The sequence below is a fragment of the Homo sapiens genome, chromosome 1 (genome assembly GCF_000001405.40).
Source record: "Homo sapiens chromosome 1, GRCh38.p14 Primary Assembly".
Lineage (NCBI taxonomy): Eukaryota > Metazoa > Chordata > Mammalia > Primates > Hominidae > Homo > Homo sapiens.
In genome coordinates this window covers 169,250,512-169,270,028 of record NC_000001.11, presented here as the reverse complement: position 1 = coordinate 169,270,028, position 19,517 = coordinate 169,250,512, and the positions used below count along the sequence as shown (strand labels likewise).

Below are 19,517 nucleotides of genomic sequence, written 5' to 3'. Positions count from 1 at the left end.
GAGGCCGAGGTAGGAGGATTGCTTGAGGCCAGGGGTTTGAAATCAGCCAGGCCGGCATAGCAAGACCCTGTCTATATTAAAAAGAGAGAGAGATAGAGAAAAATAAATAAATTGGAAATTGTATTCTATACCTTGATGTTGTGTTTTGGTTGTAAAAAATAATTCTATTTTCATGGAGAATGTTTCAAAGAAAGTTTAGATATTTTGTGGTTGTCTGCATTTAATTTACTAGGAAGCAAATTATTTATTAGAATATTGACCAATTTGTAAATTTAGCATCAGAATTGGCTCTGGTATAAGAATTAAAATGAGACTGGTAGGCGCTAGGTCTTATTTATCATGTCCTCACTTTTAGAAATTGGGTTATTCTTACTCAGAGCCTCTTTCAGAGTTTTACTATCCACTGTAATGGTAGCTTTGGTGCTGTGTAAGCCAAGAGCCCTGGTAGATGCATGCAACCTCCTAAATTTGGGCCGATTGAATCAGTTAAGTGCTCAGCTTTTTCATATTTGATTTCCTTCATGCAGTTCATCCACTAGGATACTGTGAAAGAGGCATGACATTTTTTGGTATAAAGAGAGCTAAACATCGTATATTTAACTCAGTTTTAACAAAAATTCCAGAAGTGGTCCCAGTTTTGCTTAGAATGTCACCATTTTGGAGTTTTGTGAATGTGTTCTGTTCTATCTGAAAAAGTAAACAGTTGGATGGAATTTTATCAATTGCACCAAGTACACTGAACTACATGTTAGGACCCTGACTTTGAATGCACAGAGCTTAGCATACATTTTTGAAACATAAAATTATAGACAGTGAAAATATCCTAAGGATCTGTAAGTTTTAGGGACTTTAAATAAAACTGGTGATTTATTGATTTAGAAGGAATCTCAAGAGTTCTGTTAGTCCCTACAAAAGAATCCTAATTTTGAGGAAGGATTGCATTTAATGGCCCTGAAGAGGTAAGTATGTATTAAGCTTAAGAAAAATCATTTACAAATAGTGAAATTTAGATATTATTGCTGTATAACAAACTATCCTAAAATATTTTTTAAATTTAATTTAACTCTTAAAAATATTTTAACTTCTATTTTAGGTTCAGGGGTACATGTGCAGTTTTGTTATGTAGGCAAACTCTTGACTCGGGGTTTAGTTAACAGATTATTTCGTCACCCCATTACCAAGCACAGTACTCTGTAGGTATTTTTTTTCTTCCAAACCTATCCCTTCTCCAATCCTCCACCCTTAAGAAGGCTCCAGTGTCTGTTTTTCAACTTCTGTCCATGTCTTTTCATTATTTAGCTTCCACTTGTAAGTGAGAACATGTGGTATTTGGTTTTCTGTTCCTTCATTAGTTTGCTAAGGATAATGGCCTCCAGTTCCATTCGTGTTCCTATAAAGGACATGATCTCATTTTTTTTGTTAATGGCTGCAGAGTATTCCATGGTGTATATGTACCATGTTTTCTTTATCCAGTCTACCAGTGATGGGCATTTAGGTTACTTTTATGTCTTTACTATTGTGAATAGTGCTTCAGTGAACATTTGCATGCGTGTTTATGGTAGAATGATTTATATTCCTCTGGGTATGTACCCAGTAATGGGATTGCTGTGTCAAATGGTATTTATGGCTTTAGGCCTTTGAGGAATCGCCACACTGTCTTCCACAATAGCTGAACTAATTTACACTTCCCCCAACAGGTATATAAGTGTTCCTTTTTCTCCACCACCTAACCAGCATCTGTTATTTTTTGACTTTTTAGTAATAGCCATTCTGACTGGTGTGAGATGGTATCTCACTGTGGTTTTGATTTGCATTTCTCTAATGATCAGTGATATTGAGCTTTTTTTCATGGTTGTTGGCTGCATGTGTGTCTTCTTTTGAAAATTGTCTGTTCATGTCCTTCACCCACTGTGTTATGGGGTTGTTTTTATTTTTTTCCTGTAAATTTGTTTAAGTTCCTCATAGATTCTGGATGTTAGACCTCTGTCAGACGTATAGTTAGCAAATATTTTCTCTCATTCTGTAGGTTGTCTGTTTACTCTGTTCATAGTTTCTTTTGCTATGCAAAAGCTCTTTAGCTTATTTTTGATTTATCAATTTTTGCTTTTGTTGCAATTGCTTTTGGCATTTTTGTCATGAAATCTTTGCCAGTTCCTATGTACAAAATGATATTTCCTAGGTTATCCTTTAGGGTTTTTATTTAGGTTTTAGGTTTTATTTAGGTTTTAGGTTTTACATTTAGGTCTTTCATCCATCTTGAGTTGATTTTTGTATATGGTGTAAGGAAGGGGTCCAGTTTTAGTCTTCTGTATATAGCTAGCCCGTTATCCCAGAATCATTTATTGAATAGGGAGTCCTTTCCCCATTGCTTGTTTTTGTCAGCTTTGTCAAAGATCAGATGGTTGTAGGTGTGTGGGTTTATATCTGGGCTCTCTATCCTGCTCCATTGGTCTGTGTGTCTGTTTTTATACCAGTACCATGTTGTTTTTGGTTACTGTAGCCTTGTACTACAGTGTGAAGTTGGACAATATGATTCCTCCAGCTTTGATCTTTTTGCTTAGGGTTCCCTTGGCAATTCAGGCTCTTTTTTGGTTCAATATGAACATTAAAATAGTTTTTTTCCAGTTTGTGAAGAATGTCACTGGTACATGGAAAGGAATAGCATTGAATCTGTAAATTGCTTTAGGCAGTATGACCATTTTAATGATATTGATTCTTCCCATCTAAGAGCATGGAATGTTCTTACATTTGTTTGTGTTATCTCTGATTTCTTTGAGCAGTGTTTTGTAATTTTCATTATAGAGATCTTTAACTTCCTTGGTTAGCTGTATTCCTAGATATTTTACTCTTTTTGTGGCAATTGTAAATGGGATTGTATTCCTGATTTGGCTCTCAGCTTGGGCGCTGTGTAAGAATGCTACTGATTTTTATAAATTGTTTTTGTTTGTTCGTTTGTTTTTTGAGACACAGTTTCACTTTGTCACCCAGGCTGGAGTGCAGTGGCATGATCTCGGCTCACGGCAACCTCCACCTCCCAGGTTCAAGCGATTCTTGTGCCTCAGCCTCCCAAGTAGCTGGGATTACAGGCACGCACCACCATGCTCAGCTAATTTTTATATTATTAATAGAGACAGAGTTTCACTATGTTGGCCAGGCTGGTCTCGAACTCCTGACCTCAAGTGATCCACCTGTCTCGGCCTCCCAAAGTCCTGGGATTACAGGTGTGAGCCACTGCACCTGGCCCTGATTTTTATAAATTGATTTTGTATCCTGAAACTTCGCTGAAGTTGCTTGTCATCTCAAGAAGCTTTTGGGCAGAGACTAATGAGGTTTTTTAGATATAGAATCATGTCATCTTCAAACAGGGATAGGTTGACTTCCTTTCTCTCTATTTGGATGCCTTTTATATCTTTCTCTTGCCTGATTGCTCTGGCCAGGACTTCGAATACTATGTTCAATAGATTTGGTGATAGAGGGCATCCTTGTCTTGTTTTGGTTTTCAAGGAGAATGCTTTCAGCTTTTGCTCATTCAGCATGATGTTGACTGTGGGTTTGTCATTGATGACTATTATTATTTTGAAGTATGTTCCTCAATGCCTAGTTTATTTGAGGGTTTTTAACATGAGGGGATGCTGAATTTTATCAAAGGCTTTTTCTGCATCTGTGGTTCCTGTCTTTAGTTCTGTTTATGTGATGAGTCACATTTATTGATTTGTGTATGTTGAACTAACCTTGTATCCCAAGGATAAAGCCTACTTGATCATGGTGGATTCACTTTTTGATGTGCTGCTGGATTTGGCTTGCGAGTATTTTGTTGAAAATTTTTATATAGATGTACATCAAGGACATTGGCCTGAAGTTTTCTTTTTTTGTTGTGTCTCTGTCATATTTTGGTATCAGGATGATGATGGCCTCATAGAATGAGTTGAGGAGGATTCCCTCCTCCTCAATTTTTTGGAATAGCTTCTGTAGGAATGATCCTAGCTCTTCTTTGTACATCTGGTAGAATATGGCTATGAATCCGTCTGGTCCTGGGCCTTTTGTTTGATTGGTAGGCTTTTACTGATTCAGTTTCAGAGGTCACTATTGGTCTGCTTGAGGATTCAATTTCTTCTTGGTTCAGTGTTGGGAGGATGTACATGTCCAGGAATTACTCATTTATTTTAGATTTTCTAGCTTATGTGCATAACGGTGTTCATAGTAGTCTCTGATGGTTCTTTGTATTTCTGTGGGGTCAGTGGTAATGTCTCCTTTGTCATTTCTGATTGTGTTTATTTGTATCTTTTTTCTTTATTTGTCTAGCTGTCAATTTATCTTACTTTAAAAAAAAAAACAACTCCTGGATTCATTAACCTTTTGTATGATTTTTTGTCTCTATCTCCTCCATTTTAGCTCTTGATTTTGGTTATTTCTTGTCTTCTGCTAGCTTTGGGGTTGGTTTGTTCTTGGTTCTCAAGTTCTACTAGTTGTGATGTTTGATTGTTAACTTGAGATCTTTCCAACTTTTTGATGTGGGTGTTTAGTGCTATAATTTCCCTCTTAACACTGCCTTAGCTGTGTCCCAGAAATACTGATTTGTTGTGTCTTTGTTCTCATTCATTTCAAAGAACTTCTTGATTTCTGCCTTAATTTCATTATTTACCTAAGAGTCATTCAGGAGCAGGTTGTTTAATTTCCATGCAATTGTATGGCTTTGAGCAATTTTCATGGCCTTGATTTCTGTTTTAATTGCACAGAAGAGTATGGTTGGTTATGATTTCAGTTTTCTTGAGTTTGCTGAGGGTTGTCTTATGTCTGATTCCGTGGTTGATTTTAGAGTATGTATCATGTGGTGATATGGTTTGGCGTGTCCCCAACCAAATCTCATCTTGAATTGTGGTTCCTATAATTCTGACATGTCATGGGAGGGACCTGGTAGGAGATATTTGAATCTTGGTAGCAGTTACCCCCACACTGCTGTTCTCATGATAATTAGTGAGTTCTCACGAGATCTGATGGTTTTATAAGGGGCTTTTCCCTCTTTTACTCTGCACTTCTCTTTGTTGCCGCCATGTGAAGGACATGTTTGCTTCCCCTTCTGCCATGATTGTAAGTTTCCTGAGGCCTCCCTAGCCATGCTGAACTGTGAGTCAATTAAACTTCTTTCCTTTATAAATTACCCGGTCTCAGATATGTCTTTATTAGCAGCATGAGTACGGACTAATACATGTGATAATGAAAAGAATATATATTCTGTCTTCTTAGGGTGATGAGTTCTGTAGATGTCTATTAGATCCATTTGGTCAAGAGTTTAGTTCAGATCCTGATACTATTAATTTTCTGCCTCAATGATCTATTACTGTCAGTAGGGTGTTGATGTCTCCCACTATTATTGTGTATGAATCTAAGTCTCTTCATAGGTCTCTAAGAACTTGTTTTTTGAATCTGGGTGCACCTGTATTGGGTGCCTATAGATTTAGGATAGTTGAATCCTAAATTTTTAGGATTTAAGAATTGTTGAATTGGACCCTTTACCATTATGTAATGTCATTCTCTGGCTTTTAAAAATCTATTTGGCTTAAAGATTGTTTGGTCTGAAATTAGGCTTGCAACTCCTGCTTTTTTCTGTTTTCCGTTTGTTTGGTAGATTTGTCTCTATTTCTGTTTTGAGCCTGTGGGTGCCATTGCATGTGAGATGGGTTACCTGAAGACAGCATACCATGTATCTTGCATCTTTATCCAACTTGCTACTCTGTGCCTTTTAATTGGGGCATTTAGCCCATTTATATTCAAGGTTAGTATTGATATGTGTGAATTTGATCCTGTCATTATGTTCTTAGCTGGTAATTATGCAGACTTCTTTGTGTGGTTGCTTCATAGTATCACTTGTCTGTGTACTTAAGTGTGTTTTGTAGTGGCTGGTAATGGTCTTCCCTTTCCATATCTAGTGCTTCTCTCAGGAGCTCTTATAAGGCAGGTCTAGCATTAATGAATTCCCTCAGCATTTTCTTGTCTGAAAGGATCTTATTTTTCCTTTGCTTTTGAAGCTTAGTTTGACTGGATATGAAATTTTTGGTTGGAATTCCTTTTCTTAAAGAATGTTGCATATAGGCCCTCAGTCTCTTCTGGCTTGTAGGGTTTCTGCTGATAGGTACACTATTATTCTGATGGGCTTCTCTTTTTAGGTGACCTGTCCTTTCTCTCTAGCTGCTTTTAACATTTTTTCTTTCATTTTGAACTTGGAAAATTTGATGATTATGTGTCTTGGGGGTGATCTTGAAGTATCTTGTGGTGGTTCTCCACATTTCCTGAATTTGAGTGTTGGACTCTCTAGCTAGGTTGAGGAAATTCTCATGGATGATATCCTGAAATATGTTTTTCAACTTGTTTTCTTTCTTCCCATTTCTTTCAGGTATGCCAGAGAGTCATAGATTTGGTCTTTTACATAATTCCATATTTCTCAGAGGTTTTATTCATTCCTTTTTGTTCTGTTTTCTTCCTGTCTGACTGTATTATTTCAGAAAGCCAGTCTTCAATCTCTGAGATTCTTTTCTCCACTTGTTCTATTCTGCTGTTAATATTTGTGGTTGCATTATGAAATTCTTGTAGTGTGTTTTTCAGCTCTATCAGATTGGTTGTATTATTTTCTATATGAGCTATTTTGACTTTCATCTCCTGTATTGTTTTATTGTGATTCTTAGCTTCCTTGGATTGGGTTTCAACATTCTTCTGAATCTTGATGATCTTCATTCCTATCCACATTCTGAATTCTGTTTCTGTCATTTCAGCCATCTCAACCCAGTTAATAACCCTTAACTGGAGAACTAGTGTGGTTGTTTGGAAGAAAGAAGGCACTTCAGCTTTTTCCATTGTAAGAGTTCTTGTACTGGTTCTTTCTCATTTGTGTGGGCTGATATTCCTCCAGTTTTTGAAGTTGATGTCTTCTGGATGGATTGTTTTGCTTTTTTTTTATTTGATGCCCTTGGGGGTTTGATTGTGGTATAAGGTGGGTTTGGTTGTCTGGCTTCAATTCTAGTCTGCTCCTGGGTCTTGCAGGAGGCCCCAGTTATTACTGCCTTTGTGTCTGCATTTCTTTTGTTGGTTATTCTGGTCCAAGGGGCTCCCTCAGACTGGGGCTGCAGTTGAGTGACAAGCCCTATCCTAGCCAAGTTGCCCTAATCTACTATCTGTGTGCTTCCTGGGGGGACATGGGAGTTGCCTCTGCAAAACATCTGAGTGGCTCACTGCCTCAATCTAGAAGTATGTTGGGGAATTGTGGGGAAGCCAGGTTGATTCTCTCCTTCTCAGTCTTGCATGGGTCCATGTGGTAAGGGTGAGTCCCCCTGGGGGCTGTCACTCACTCACCCTTTCCCGTGTTGAAGAGGTTTTCCTGGCTCTGCACTGAGCCCCGACAGACTGGTGCCCAGCTTTGCCCCTCTTTGTTCTCTGTGTTCCCCTGCTGCCTTGATGTATCTCATCATGGTTTCTCAGATGATCAGCCTGCAGAACCCGTGTTCACTAGCACTTTTGTTTTCTCCCCCTGGGAGTGGCACACATGAACTACTTCCAGTCTACCATCTTAGCCCTGCCCCCAGATATCCAAAAACTTAGTTTCTTAAAAACAATGATTTATCTCATCATTAAGAAATAGAGGCTAAAAAGAAAAAGGGAAAAATGATGTATTATTTTTCACAATTCTGTGGGTTATCAATTGATGATTCTTCTGTGCTATGCCTTGCTTGAGTTATTCATGTGGCTTCATTCATCTGGGAGCTGTACTGGAGCTGGAGTGTACAAGACTGAATCTCATTCTCAAAAGACTCTTTCCATGTGGCCTCTCATCATTCAGTAGTATAGCCTGAGCTTCTTTACCGGATGGTTTCTGGCTTCTAAGAGTAACATTCCAAGATAATCCTCAATGGAAATTGCTCATCATGTCTCTGTTTGCATCACAGCTAAGGAAAGTCACATGGCCAGGTCCAGAGTCAGTATAGGAGGAGACTCTACAAGCACATGAATACCAGGAATTATGGTTCACTGGACCACCAATGTATCATTCTACCTCAAGTGGTATAAGGCATCTTAAGTCCTTCATGTGGTTGGGACGTGAGACTAGAACCTGAACCAGTAGTATTGTGACACTAAGATGCTAGATAGTGCTTCTCAAACTTTAGTGTGCAACAGAACCACTTGGGGAGACTGTTTAAAATTATTATTCATGGACCCTAATTTTAGAATCTTTTTTCAGTATATCTGGAGTAGAGCCCAAGAATATGCATTTTTAAAAGAATCCCTGGGTTTTCCTGATAAACACCCAGTACAAGAGCCACTTATGAGAAATTCTGGGCAGGGACCATCTTGCATTTCCTTTAGTAATCTGCCATCATCAGAGTCAAGCCTTATAAAAGTTGATACATGATTGAAGATTCCTAGTTTGTTCACTATGGCAGGTCAATAGCAACCAAGGAGATGGTTAGGGAAGAGTCACCTTTTGATTTTCAGCTGTTCTTATAACTCAGATCCCTGTGCTGGATTTTAGGTTGGTGAGAATTTTTTGGAGTAATGGAAAATGTGAGTAGTTGGGACACTCTGCTTTACACAAGTAGCTTCTCTAATGCACGTTTACTTCTTTATAGCAGTTGTTTAATGAAAATAACGGTAAATCTTGATCTGTTGCTAGACAGTGCTTAGATTGATCTTTCTCTAGTGAGATTGGAATGAAACCCAGTTTCATGGAAAGAAATAGCACTGGCAAAAATGTAACATGGGGTTTTCTCAAAAGTCATAGCACAGTTTTAAGCTTTAATAACTTCAGAACTATAAATACCACAAACAATAAATATCACTTATAAGCTTAATTATCTAAGTTTCTTTATACCTTTTCAGTTTTTTATTTTGAATAATATTTAATTTCAGTGTTTTGTTTCAGTAAACATTTATAAAAGAAATTTAGATAATTCCTGTTTTTCACTTTTTTTTTTCTATTTTAAGATTCAGAGTCACGGTGATTCAGGGAATGATGTTATTGAGGCAACCTGACACACATGCCTTTGGAATATTCATTTGTTGACCCAGTAGGTTCTATGTATGCACAGATACTTCTAGGAAGAACAACATTAATGTAAGCTTTATGCAGAATTTTGATGACAGTGCCACTCCTCTTGCCTGTTTTTCATTCACTTGTCTGTTAGAGGACCATGCCATTTTAGAACTCATGGTAACTAATGCTGAGCATAGCTACACATGATTTAGACCTGAGGAAAACATATCTTAAAAAAGAGTTTGTAGCAAAGATAGAATGTGCCCACTCCTCTGCTTTGGAGGATCCTCTAGTACTGGTTTTCTATGTATCCTCCTAACCCTTTCCTCTGCAGATTAAACATCTGCGTAATTGCACAATGACAAAAGGAAGACAAGAGTTTCCTCCTACCATGCTGTGGTTCTGCTTTTCAGGCTTTTTTTTTTTTCTTCTACCCAAGAGCTGGGCTAATCTTTATGAATCTGTGATCCAGGATTCAGAACACATGATGTTACTTTATCAAGATATGTTTTAAAACATGAAAACCCAAAGTAGCATGATCTCATTTTATAAGACTTGAAAAAATGATTCAAGTTACATGGCAGATTATAAATGCTGACATTCTGGCAAGATAATTATAATTGATTCTTAGGAGGAAGAAAGAGGGACGATTTCTAAAGAAAAGGTAGTATCTTTCAGAAAAGTCTATGAAAAGCTTGGGTTTCCAAATAATAAGTTAAAACATGGGAGGAGTTGACATGAAAAATATTGAAGGGACATGGTCAGTGTAATTGATTTTTGAATGGATTAATAAATGGTACCCTTCTTTGCTTTTCTATATATTCACACATCTTACTTACTCTAGAAAACCTATGGTTCAAAGTTCTAACTTATTTTAGTTATTAGTTCTTTTCTAACCTATCACCAACTTACATCTACTATGTCTCTTTTAACACTTAGCATACGTACTGTGACTTCTATGTGTGCAAAATAGGAAGTGAGTTACTCATCCCAGTTATTTCACCAGAGCAGTTTCATGGTGGTTATTGAAGAACAGCCTTGTTATCAAAGGGAGGGTAGTCTTCTAGGATAATATTAAGGATTTCAATTTAAGCAGATTGGAAGGAACTAAAGTGACTCTAGTGTGCTTAAAAATGACTCTTGAAATTGTGGTTACAGGTCTGTGCCACAGACTTTCTTCTCCGTTTTTAAAAGTTATTCTTCAGAATATCCTGAATTTGAGGTCAGAAAATCTTTAAGCCAAATCTTATTTAAGTATTGGGCTGAATCAGAATATGAAGTTTCATATATGAAATGAAAGTTTAATAAATGAAACAAGGTTTGGCTTTGCATCATAGATTTTTATTTAATCTGTTAATGTGATTCAAAACATGCACCTCAAATTATTTGATACAGAGGTGGGAAATGCTAAGTTTTACTCAGGAATTCATCTTAGTAGAAAAATTTAGAAATACAGACAAATGTCTATTTTAAAAATCACTTACTCCTACCATCCAGAGATTCTAACTGTTTACATTGTTGCATTTTCTTCCTTCCCTTTCAAATAGAAGGAAACACAACAAAATGAATGAATTTCATAGTAATGAACTTGAGCAAAATAAGAAAGACATGAAGCATATATGCTGTATTACTCTAATCACAAAAAGTTCAAATATAGGCAAAAATCAACCACATATTTCAAGAATTCATATGTAGGTGGTAAACTATAAAGAAAAGTTTATTCCAAAGTCAGGTAGGTGTCTCCCCTAAGAGAAGAAAGGGTCATGATTGGGAGGCATATATAGAGGGCTTCGAGGGTGGGCTTTTGATGTGGGTGATGATAACTGTAGATGTTCACTTTAAAATTATTTAATCTGAGCATATCTGTTATATATTTTACCATAAAAGTATATTTTATATTTTACAATGTAAAATGTATTCAATATTTTACAATTTAAAATATAAAAATTTTCAGCTATATCACCTTTTCCATGGCCAAAGGAGTAGTTGTGATGCTTTGTTGTTCTCAGAGACCTTACTCGCAGTAATGGTTCTGAAACGTTAGTGTGCATCAGGATCACTTGGATTAAATATAGATTCCTGGGCCCTGACTCCAAAGTATCTGATTTGGAATATCTGGTTTAGAGCCCAAGAATCTGCATTTGTAATAAGTTCCCAGGTCATGCTAAAGATATTTTTGCATGGACCACACTTTGAGAATCACCAGATAGCAAAGCTGTACCTATCTATAGAACCATGCTGGGGAATAACAGAAGAAAATGGAGGCCCATATTCAGTGTATATAGTATATGCTTACAACAGAAAAGGAGCAAGAATTATATACCTTGTGATCCGTGTTGTGGTATTAGTCTATTTTTAAGTCTATCTATGAATGGCAATATAAGCCTTGCCAGTGCTGAGGGAATCAGAGCCATTTAAAACAAACAAAAGAAACAGTGTTCTTATAATAAGATGTCTAAATTTGTGAATTTCCTTAACTGTGACTTTGGAAAGTTAGAATAAGTAAAAATCAACGTACCTGTTTATTAAAAAAAATGTTGTGCAAAGGCTAACTTTGAGAATGAGAAGATATATGTGTGTGTGTATGTGTGTGTGTGTGTGTGTATATATATATATATATATATATATATATATGTTTTATTTTATTTTATTTTATTTTTTTTGAGACAAGGTCTTACTCTGTCATCCAGGCTGAGTGCAGTGACCTGATCATAGCTCACTGGAACCTCAACCACAACCTCCTGCAGTCAAGTGATCCTTCCACCTCAGCCTCCCAAGCAGAGCAGCTGGCACTACAGACACGTGCCACAACACCTAGCTAATTTCTTATTTTTTGTAGAGACAGGGTCTCACTATGGTTCCCAGGCTGGCCACAAACTCCTGGACTCAAGGAGTCCTCCTGACTTGGCCCCTCAAAGTGTTGGAATTATAGGTATGAGCCACTGTGCCAGGCCTATGTCTTTTTAAAATAGAAACAAACACTCAAACTAATTATAGGTAAGGAACAACATTTATTTACTTTGTGTTGTTCATGTTAAAGTTAATGGATCCATGGTCTTGAATTATCATTTCAGTCTTCTTTCATTGTGTTTGCTTGAAAAACTAAGAGATTTCCTCAGCAGAAACCTTTTAAGCCAGAAGGGATTGGAGTTTTATCTTTAGCCTTCTTAAAGAGAATAACTGTCAGTCAAGAATTTTGTATCCAGAACAAAACTAAGTTTTGTAAATGAAGGAGAATTAAAGTCATTTTCAGACAAACAAATGCTGAGAGAATTTGTTACTACTAGACCAGCTCTATTGAAAATGCTAAAAGGAGTTTTAAACTTTAAAAGAAAAAGGCAATTATGAACCAGAATAGAACCTCTTGAAAGCATAAAACTAATGGGGCCTATAAAACAATAACAATAAAGAAACCAGAGGGGGAGGAGCCAAGATGGCCGAATAGGAACAGCTCCGGTCTACAGCTCCCAGCGTGAGCGACGCAGAAGACGGGTGATTTCTGCATTTACATCTGAGGTACTGGGTTCATCTCACTAGGGAGTGCCAGACAGTGGGCGCAGGTCAGTGGGTGCGCGTACCGTTCGCAAGCCGAAGCAGGGCGAGGCATTGCCTCACTTGGGAAGCGCAAGGGGTCAGGGAGTTCCCTTTCTGAGTCAAAGAAAGGGATGCCGGACAGCACCTGGAAAATCGGGTCACTCCCAACCAAATACTGCGCTTTTCTGACAGGCTTAAAAAATGGCGCACCACGAGATTATATCCCGCACCTGGCTTGGAGGGTCCTATGCCCACGGAGTCTCGCCGATTGCCAGCACAGCAGTCTGAGATCAAACTGCAAGGTGGCAGCGAGGCTGGGGGAGGGGCGCCCGCCATTGCTCAGGCTTGATTAGGTAAACAAAGCAGCCAGGAAGCTCCACCTGGGCGGAGCCCACCACAGCTCAAGGAGGCCTGCCTGCCTCTGTAGGCTCCACCTCTGGGGGCAGGGCACAGACAAACAAAAAGACAGCAGTAACCTCTGCAGACTTAAATGTCGCTGTCTGACAGCTTTGAAGAGAGCAGTGGTTCTCCCAGCATGCAGCTGGAGATCTGAGAATGGGCAGACTGCCTCCTCAAGTGGGTCCCTGACCCCTGACCCCCAAGCAGCCTAACTGGGAGGCACCCCCCAGCAAGAGCACACTGACACCTCACACGGCAGGGTATTCCAACAGACCTGCAGCTGAGGGTCCTGTCTGTTAGAAGGAAAACTAACAAACAGAAAGGACATCCACACCAAAAACCCATCTGTACATCACCATCATCAAAGACCAAAAGTAGATAAAACCACAAAGATGGGGAAAAAACAGAACAGAAAAACTGGAAACTCTAAAAAGCAGAGCGCCTCTCCTCCTCCAAAGGAACGCAGTTCCTCACCGGCAACGGAACAAAGCTGGATGGAGAATGACTTTGACGAGCTGAGAGAAGAAGGCTTCAGACGATCAAATTACTCTGAGCTACTGGAGGGCATTCAAACCAAAGGCAAAGAAGTTGAAAACTTTGAAAAAGATTTAGAAGAATGTATAACTAGAATAACCAATACAGAGAAGTGCTTAAAGGAGCTGATGGAGCTGAAAACCAAGGCTCGAGAACTACGTGAAGAACGCAGAAGCCTCAGGAGTCGATGCGATCAACTGGAAGAAAGGGTTTCAGTGATGGAAGATGAAATGAATGAAATGAAGCGAGAAGGAAAGTTTAGAGAAAAAAGAATACAAAGAAATGAGTAAAGCCTCCAAGAAATATGGGACTATGTGAAAAGACCAAATCTACGTCTGATTGGTGTACCTGAAAGTGATGGGGAGAATGGAACCAAGTTGGAAAACACTCTGTAGGATATTATCCAGGAGAACTTCCCCAATCTAGCAAGGCAGGCCAACATTCAGATTCAGGAAATACAGAGAATGCCACAAAGATACTCCTCGAGAAGAGCAACTCCAAGACACATAATGGTCAGATTCACCAAAGTTGAAATGAAGGTAAAAATGTTAAGGGCAGCCAGAGAGAAAGGTCGGGTTACCCTCAAAGGAAAGCCCATCAGACTAACAGTGGATCTCTCGGCAGAAACCCTACAAGCCAGAAGAGAGTGGGGGCCAATATTCACCATTCTTAAAGAAAAGAATTTTCAACCCAGAATTTCATATCCAGCCAAACTAAGCTTCATAAGCGAAGGAGAAATAAAATACTTTACAGACAAGCAAATGCTGAGAGATTTTGTCACCACCAGGCCTGCCCTAAAAGAGCTCCTGAAGGAAGCGCTAAACATGGAAAGGAGCAACCGGTACCAGCCGCTGCAAAATCATGCCAAAATGTAAAGACCATCAAGACTAGGAAGAAACTGCATCAACTAACGAGCAAAATAACCAGCTAACATCATAATGACAGGATCAAATTCACACATAACAATATTAACTTTAAATGTAAATGGACTAAATTCTGCAATTAAAAGACACAGACTGGCAAATTGGATAAAGAGTCAAGACCCATCAGTGTGCTGTATTCAGGAAACCCATCTCACGTGCAGAGACACACATAGGCTCAAAATAAAAGGATGGAGGAAGATCTACCAAGCAAATGGAAAACAAAAAAAGGCAGGGGTTGCAATCCTAGTCTCTGATAAAACAGACTTTAAACCAACAAAGATCAAAAGAGACAAAGAAGGCCATTACATAATGGTAAAGGGATCAATTCAACAAGAAGAGCTAACTATCCTAAATATATTGCACCCAATACAGGAGCACCCAGATTCATAAAGCAAGTCCTGAGTGACCTACAAAGAGACTTAGACTCCCACACAATAATAATGGGAGACTTTAACACCCCACTGTCAACATTAGACAGATCAACGAGACAGAAAGTCAACAAGGATACCCAGGAATTGAACTTAGCTCTGCACCAAGCGGACCTAATAGACATCTACAGAACTCTCCACCCCAAATCAACAGAATATACATTTTTTTCAGCACCACACCACACCTATTCCAAAATTGACCGCATAGTTGGAAGTAAAGCTCTCCTCAGCAAATGTAAAAGAACAGAAATTATAACAAACTATCTCTCACACCACAGTGCAATCAAACTAGAACTCAGGATTAAGAATCTCACTCAAAACCGCTCAACTACATGGAAACTGAACAACCTGCTCCTGAATGACTACTGGGTACATAGCGAAATGAAGGCAGAAATAAAGATGTTCTTTGAAACCAACGAGAACAAAGACACAACATACCAGAATCTCTGGGACACATTCGAAGCAGTGTGTAGAGGGAAATTTATAGCACTAAATGGCCACAAGAGAAAGCAGGAAAGATCCAAAATTGACACCCTAACATCACAATTAAAAGAACTAGAAAAGCAAGAGCAAACACATTCAAAAGCTAGCAGAAGGCAAGAAATAACTAAAATCAGAGCAGAACTGAAGGAAATAGAGATACAAAAAACCCTTCAAAAAATTAATGAATCCAGGAGCTGGTTTTTTGAAAGGATCAACAAAATTGATAGACCACTAGCAAGACTAATAAAGAAAAAAAGAGAGAAGAATCTAATAGACGCAATAAAAACTGATAAAGGGGATATCACCACCAATCCCACAGAAATACAAACTACCATCAGAGAATACTACAAACACCTCTACGCAAATAAACTAGAAAATCGAGAAGAAATGGATAAATTCCTCGACACATACACTCTCCCAAGACTAAACCAGGAAGAAGTTGAATCTCTGAATAGAACAATAACAGGATCTGAAATTGTGGCAAGAATCAATAGCTTACCAACCAAAAAGAGTCCAGGACCAGATGGATTCACAGCTGAATTCTACCAGAGGTACAAGGAGGAACTGGTACCATTCCTTCTGAAACTATTCCAATCAATAGAAAAAGAGGGAATCCTCCCTAACTCATTTTATGAGGCCAGCATCATTCTGATACCAAAGCCAGGCAGAGACACAACCAAAAAAGAGAATTTTAGACCAATATCGTTGATGAACATTGATGCAAAAATCCTCAATAAAATACTGGCAAAAGGAATCCAGCAGCACATCAAAAAGCTTATCCACCATGATCAAGTGGGCTTCATCCCTGGGATGCAAGGCTGGTTCAATATACACAAATCAATAAATGTAATCCAGCATATAAACAGAGCCAAAGACAAAAACCACATGATTATCTCAATAGATGCAGAAAAAGCCTTTGACAAAATTCAACAACCCTTTATGCTAAAAACTCTCAATAAATTAGGTATTGATGGGACGTATTTCAAAATAATAAGAGCTATCTATGACAAACCCACAGCCAGTATCATACTGAATGGGCAAAAACTAGAAGCATTCCGTTTGAAAACTGGCACAAGACAGGGATGCCCTCTCTCACCACTCCTATTCAACATAGTGTTTGAAATTCTGGCCCGGGCAATTAGGCAGGAGAAGGAAATAAAGGGTATTCAATTAGGAAAAGAGGAAGTCAAATTGTCCCTGTTTGCAGGCGACATGATTGTATATCTAGAAAACCCCATTGTCTCAGCCCAAAATCTCCTTAAGCTGATAAGCAACTTCAGCAAAGTCTCAGGATACAAAATCAATGTGCAAAAATCACAAGCATTCTTATACACCAATAACAGACAAACAGAGAGCCAAATCATGAGTGAACTCCCATTCACAATTGCTTCAAAGAGAATAAAATACCTAGGAATCCAACTTACAAGGGATGTGAAGGACCTCTTCAAGGAGAACTACAAACCACTGCTCAAGGAAATAAAAGAGGATACAAACAAATGGAAGAACATTCCATGCTCATGGGTAGGAAGAATCAATATCGTGAAAATGGCCATACTGCCCAAGGTAATTTATAGAATCAATGCCATCCCCATCAAGCTACCAATGCCTTTCTTCACAGAATTGGAAAAATCTACTTTAAAGTTCATATGGAACCAAAAAAGAGCCCGCATCGCCAAGTCAATCCTAAGCCAAAAGAACAAAGCTGGAAGCATCACACTACCTGACTTCAAACTATACTACAAGGCTACAGTAACCAAAACAGCATGGTACTGGTACCAAAACAGAGATATAGATCAATGGAACAGAACAGAGCCCTCAGAAATAACACCGCATATCTACAACTATCTGATCTTTGACAAACCTGAGAAAAACAAGCAATGGGGAAAGGATTCCCTATTTAATAAATGGTGCTGGGAAAACTGGCTAGCCATATGTAGAAAGCTGAAACTGGATCCCTTCCTTACACCTTATACAAAAATCAATTCAAGATGGATTAAAGACTTAAACGTTAGACCTAAAACCATAAAAACCCTAGAAGAAAACCTAGGGATTACCATTCAGGACATAGGCATAGGCGACGACTTCATGTCTAAAACACCAAAAACAATGGCAGCAAAAGACAAAATCGACAAATGGGATCTAATTAAACTAAAGAGCTTCTGCACAGCAAAAGAAACTACCATCAGAGTGAACAGGCAACCTACAAAATGGGAGAAAATTTTCGCAACCTACTCTTCTGACAAAGGGCTAATATCCAGAATCTACAATGAACTCAAACAAATTTTTAAGAAAAAAACAAACAACCCCATCAAAAAGTGGGTGAAGGACATGAACAGACACTTCTCAAAAGGAGACATTTATGCTGCCAAAAAACACATGAAAAAATGCTCATCATCACTGGCCATCAGAGAAATGCAAATCAAAACCACAATGAGATACCATCTCACACCAGTTAGAATGGCAATCATTAAAAAGTCAGGAAACAACAGGTGCTGGAGGGGATGTGGAGAAATAGGAACACTTTTACACTGTTGGTGGGACTGTAAACTAGTTCAACCATTGTGGAAGTCAGTGTGGCGATTCCTCAGGGATCTAGAACTGGAAATACCATTTGACCCAGCCATCCCATTACTGGGTATATACCCAAAGGACTATAAATCATGCTGCTATAAAGACACATGCACACGTATGTTTATTGCGGCATTATTCACCATAGCAAAGACTTGGAACCAACCCAAATGTCCAACAATGATAGACTGGATTAAGAAAATGTGGCACATATACACCATGGAATACTATGCAGCCATAAAAAATGATGAGTTCATGTCCTTTGTAGGGACATGGATGAAACTGGAAAACATCATTCTCAGTAAACTGTTGCAAGAACAAAAAACCAAACACTGCATATTCTCACTCATAGGTGGGAATTGAACAATGAGATCACATGGACACAGGAAGGGGAATATCACACTCTGGGGACTGTTGTGGGGTGGGGGGAGGGGGGAGGGATAGCATTGGGAGATATACCTAATGCTAGATGATGAGTTAGTGGGTGCAGTGCACCAGCATGGCACATGTATACATATGTAACTAACCTGCACAATGTGCACATGTACCCTAAAACTTAAAGTATAATAAAAAAAAAAAGAAAAAAAAAAAAAGAAACCAGAGTATCTAGGTAACAAGTAACAGGATAACTGGAACAGTACCTCACATCTCAATATTAACATTGGATATAAATTGCTTAAATTCTCCACTTAAATGATACAGATTGGCAGAATGGATTTTAAAAATCACAAACCAAATATATACTGTCTTCAAGAGACTCACCTAATACATAAAGATTCATATAAACTTAGGGTATAGGAGTGCAAAAAGATATTCCACTCCAAATGGAAACCAAAAGTGAGCAGGAGTAGGTAGTCTTATATCAGATAAAACAGATTTTAAAGCAACAACAGTAAAAAAAGACAAAGAAGGTCATTATATGATGATAAAAGGATCAATCCAACAAGAAGATATTATATTCCTAAATTTATATACACTTAACACTGGAGCTCCCAGATTCATAAAACAATTACTATTAGACCTAAGACATGAGATAGACATGAAATAATAATAGTATGAGACTGCAACAGTCCACCGACAACACTAGACAGATCATCAAGACAGAAAGTCAACAAAGAAATAATGGACCTAAAGTGCACTCTAGAACAAATGGACCTGACAAATATTTGCCGAACATTCTACCTAATAACTGCAGATTGTACATTCTTTTAATCAGCACACAGAACATTCTCCACAATAGACCATATGCTAGGCCACAAAACAAGTCTCTATAAATTTTTAAAAATCGAAATGTTATCAGGTATCTTCTCAGACCACAGTGGAATAAAACTACAAATCAACTCCAAAAGTAACCCTCAAAACTATACAAATACATAGAAATTAAACAATCTGCTCCTGGATGATTTTTGAGTTAACAGTGAAATCAAGATGGAATTTTAAAAATTCTTTGAAAGGAATGATAATATTGACACAAGTTATCAAAATCTCTGGAATATAGTAAAAGCAGTACTAAAAGGAAAATTTATAGTGCTAAATACCTACATTAAAAAATCTGAAAGATGATAAATTGACAACCTAACATCATACCTCAAGGAGCTAGAGAAAGAACAAACTAAACCCAAAGCTAGC

General features: G+C 38.2%; 1 protein-coding gene across 3 annotated transcripts in view, besides 2 other annotated features; it reads left to right on the top strand.

Annotated features, from left to right (window-relative positions):
• NME7 (NME/NM23 family member 7) overlaps window positions 1-19,517 on the top strand; it is a 235,267-nt gene that overhangs the window by 97,769 nt on the left and 117,981 nt on the right. The gene's annotated exons all lie outside the window — the stretch shown is intronic.
• Window positions 12,113-12,717: an enhancer, noted in NCBI's record as "H3K27ac-H3K4me1 hESC enhancer chr1:169226550-169227154 (GRCh37/hg19 assembly coordinates)". NCBI's record gives its function as "activates a minimal SCP1, AML or CMV promoter by ChIP-STARR-seq in naive H9 embryonic stem cells {active_cell/tissue: H9 hESC(naive)}" and the evidence as "EXISTENCE:reporter gene assay evidence [ECO:0000049][PMID:30033119]".
• Window positions 12,718-13,323: an enhancer, noted in NCBI's record as "H3K27ac-H3K4me1 hESC enhancer chr1:169225944-169226549 (GRCh37/hg19 assembly coordinates)". NCBI's record gives its function as "activates a minimal SCP1, AML or CMV promoter by ChIP-STARR-seq in naive H9 embryonic stem cells {active_cell/tissue: H9 hESC(naive)}" and the evidence as "EXISTENCE:reporter gene assay evidence [ECO:0000049][PMID:30033119]".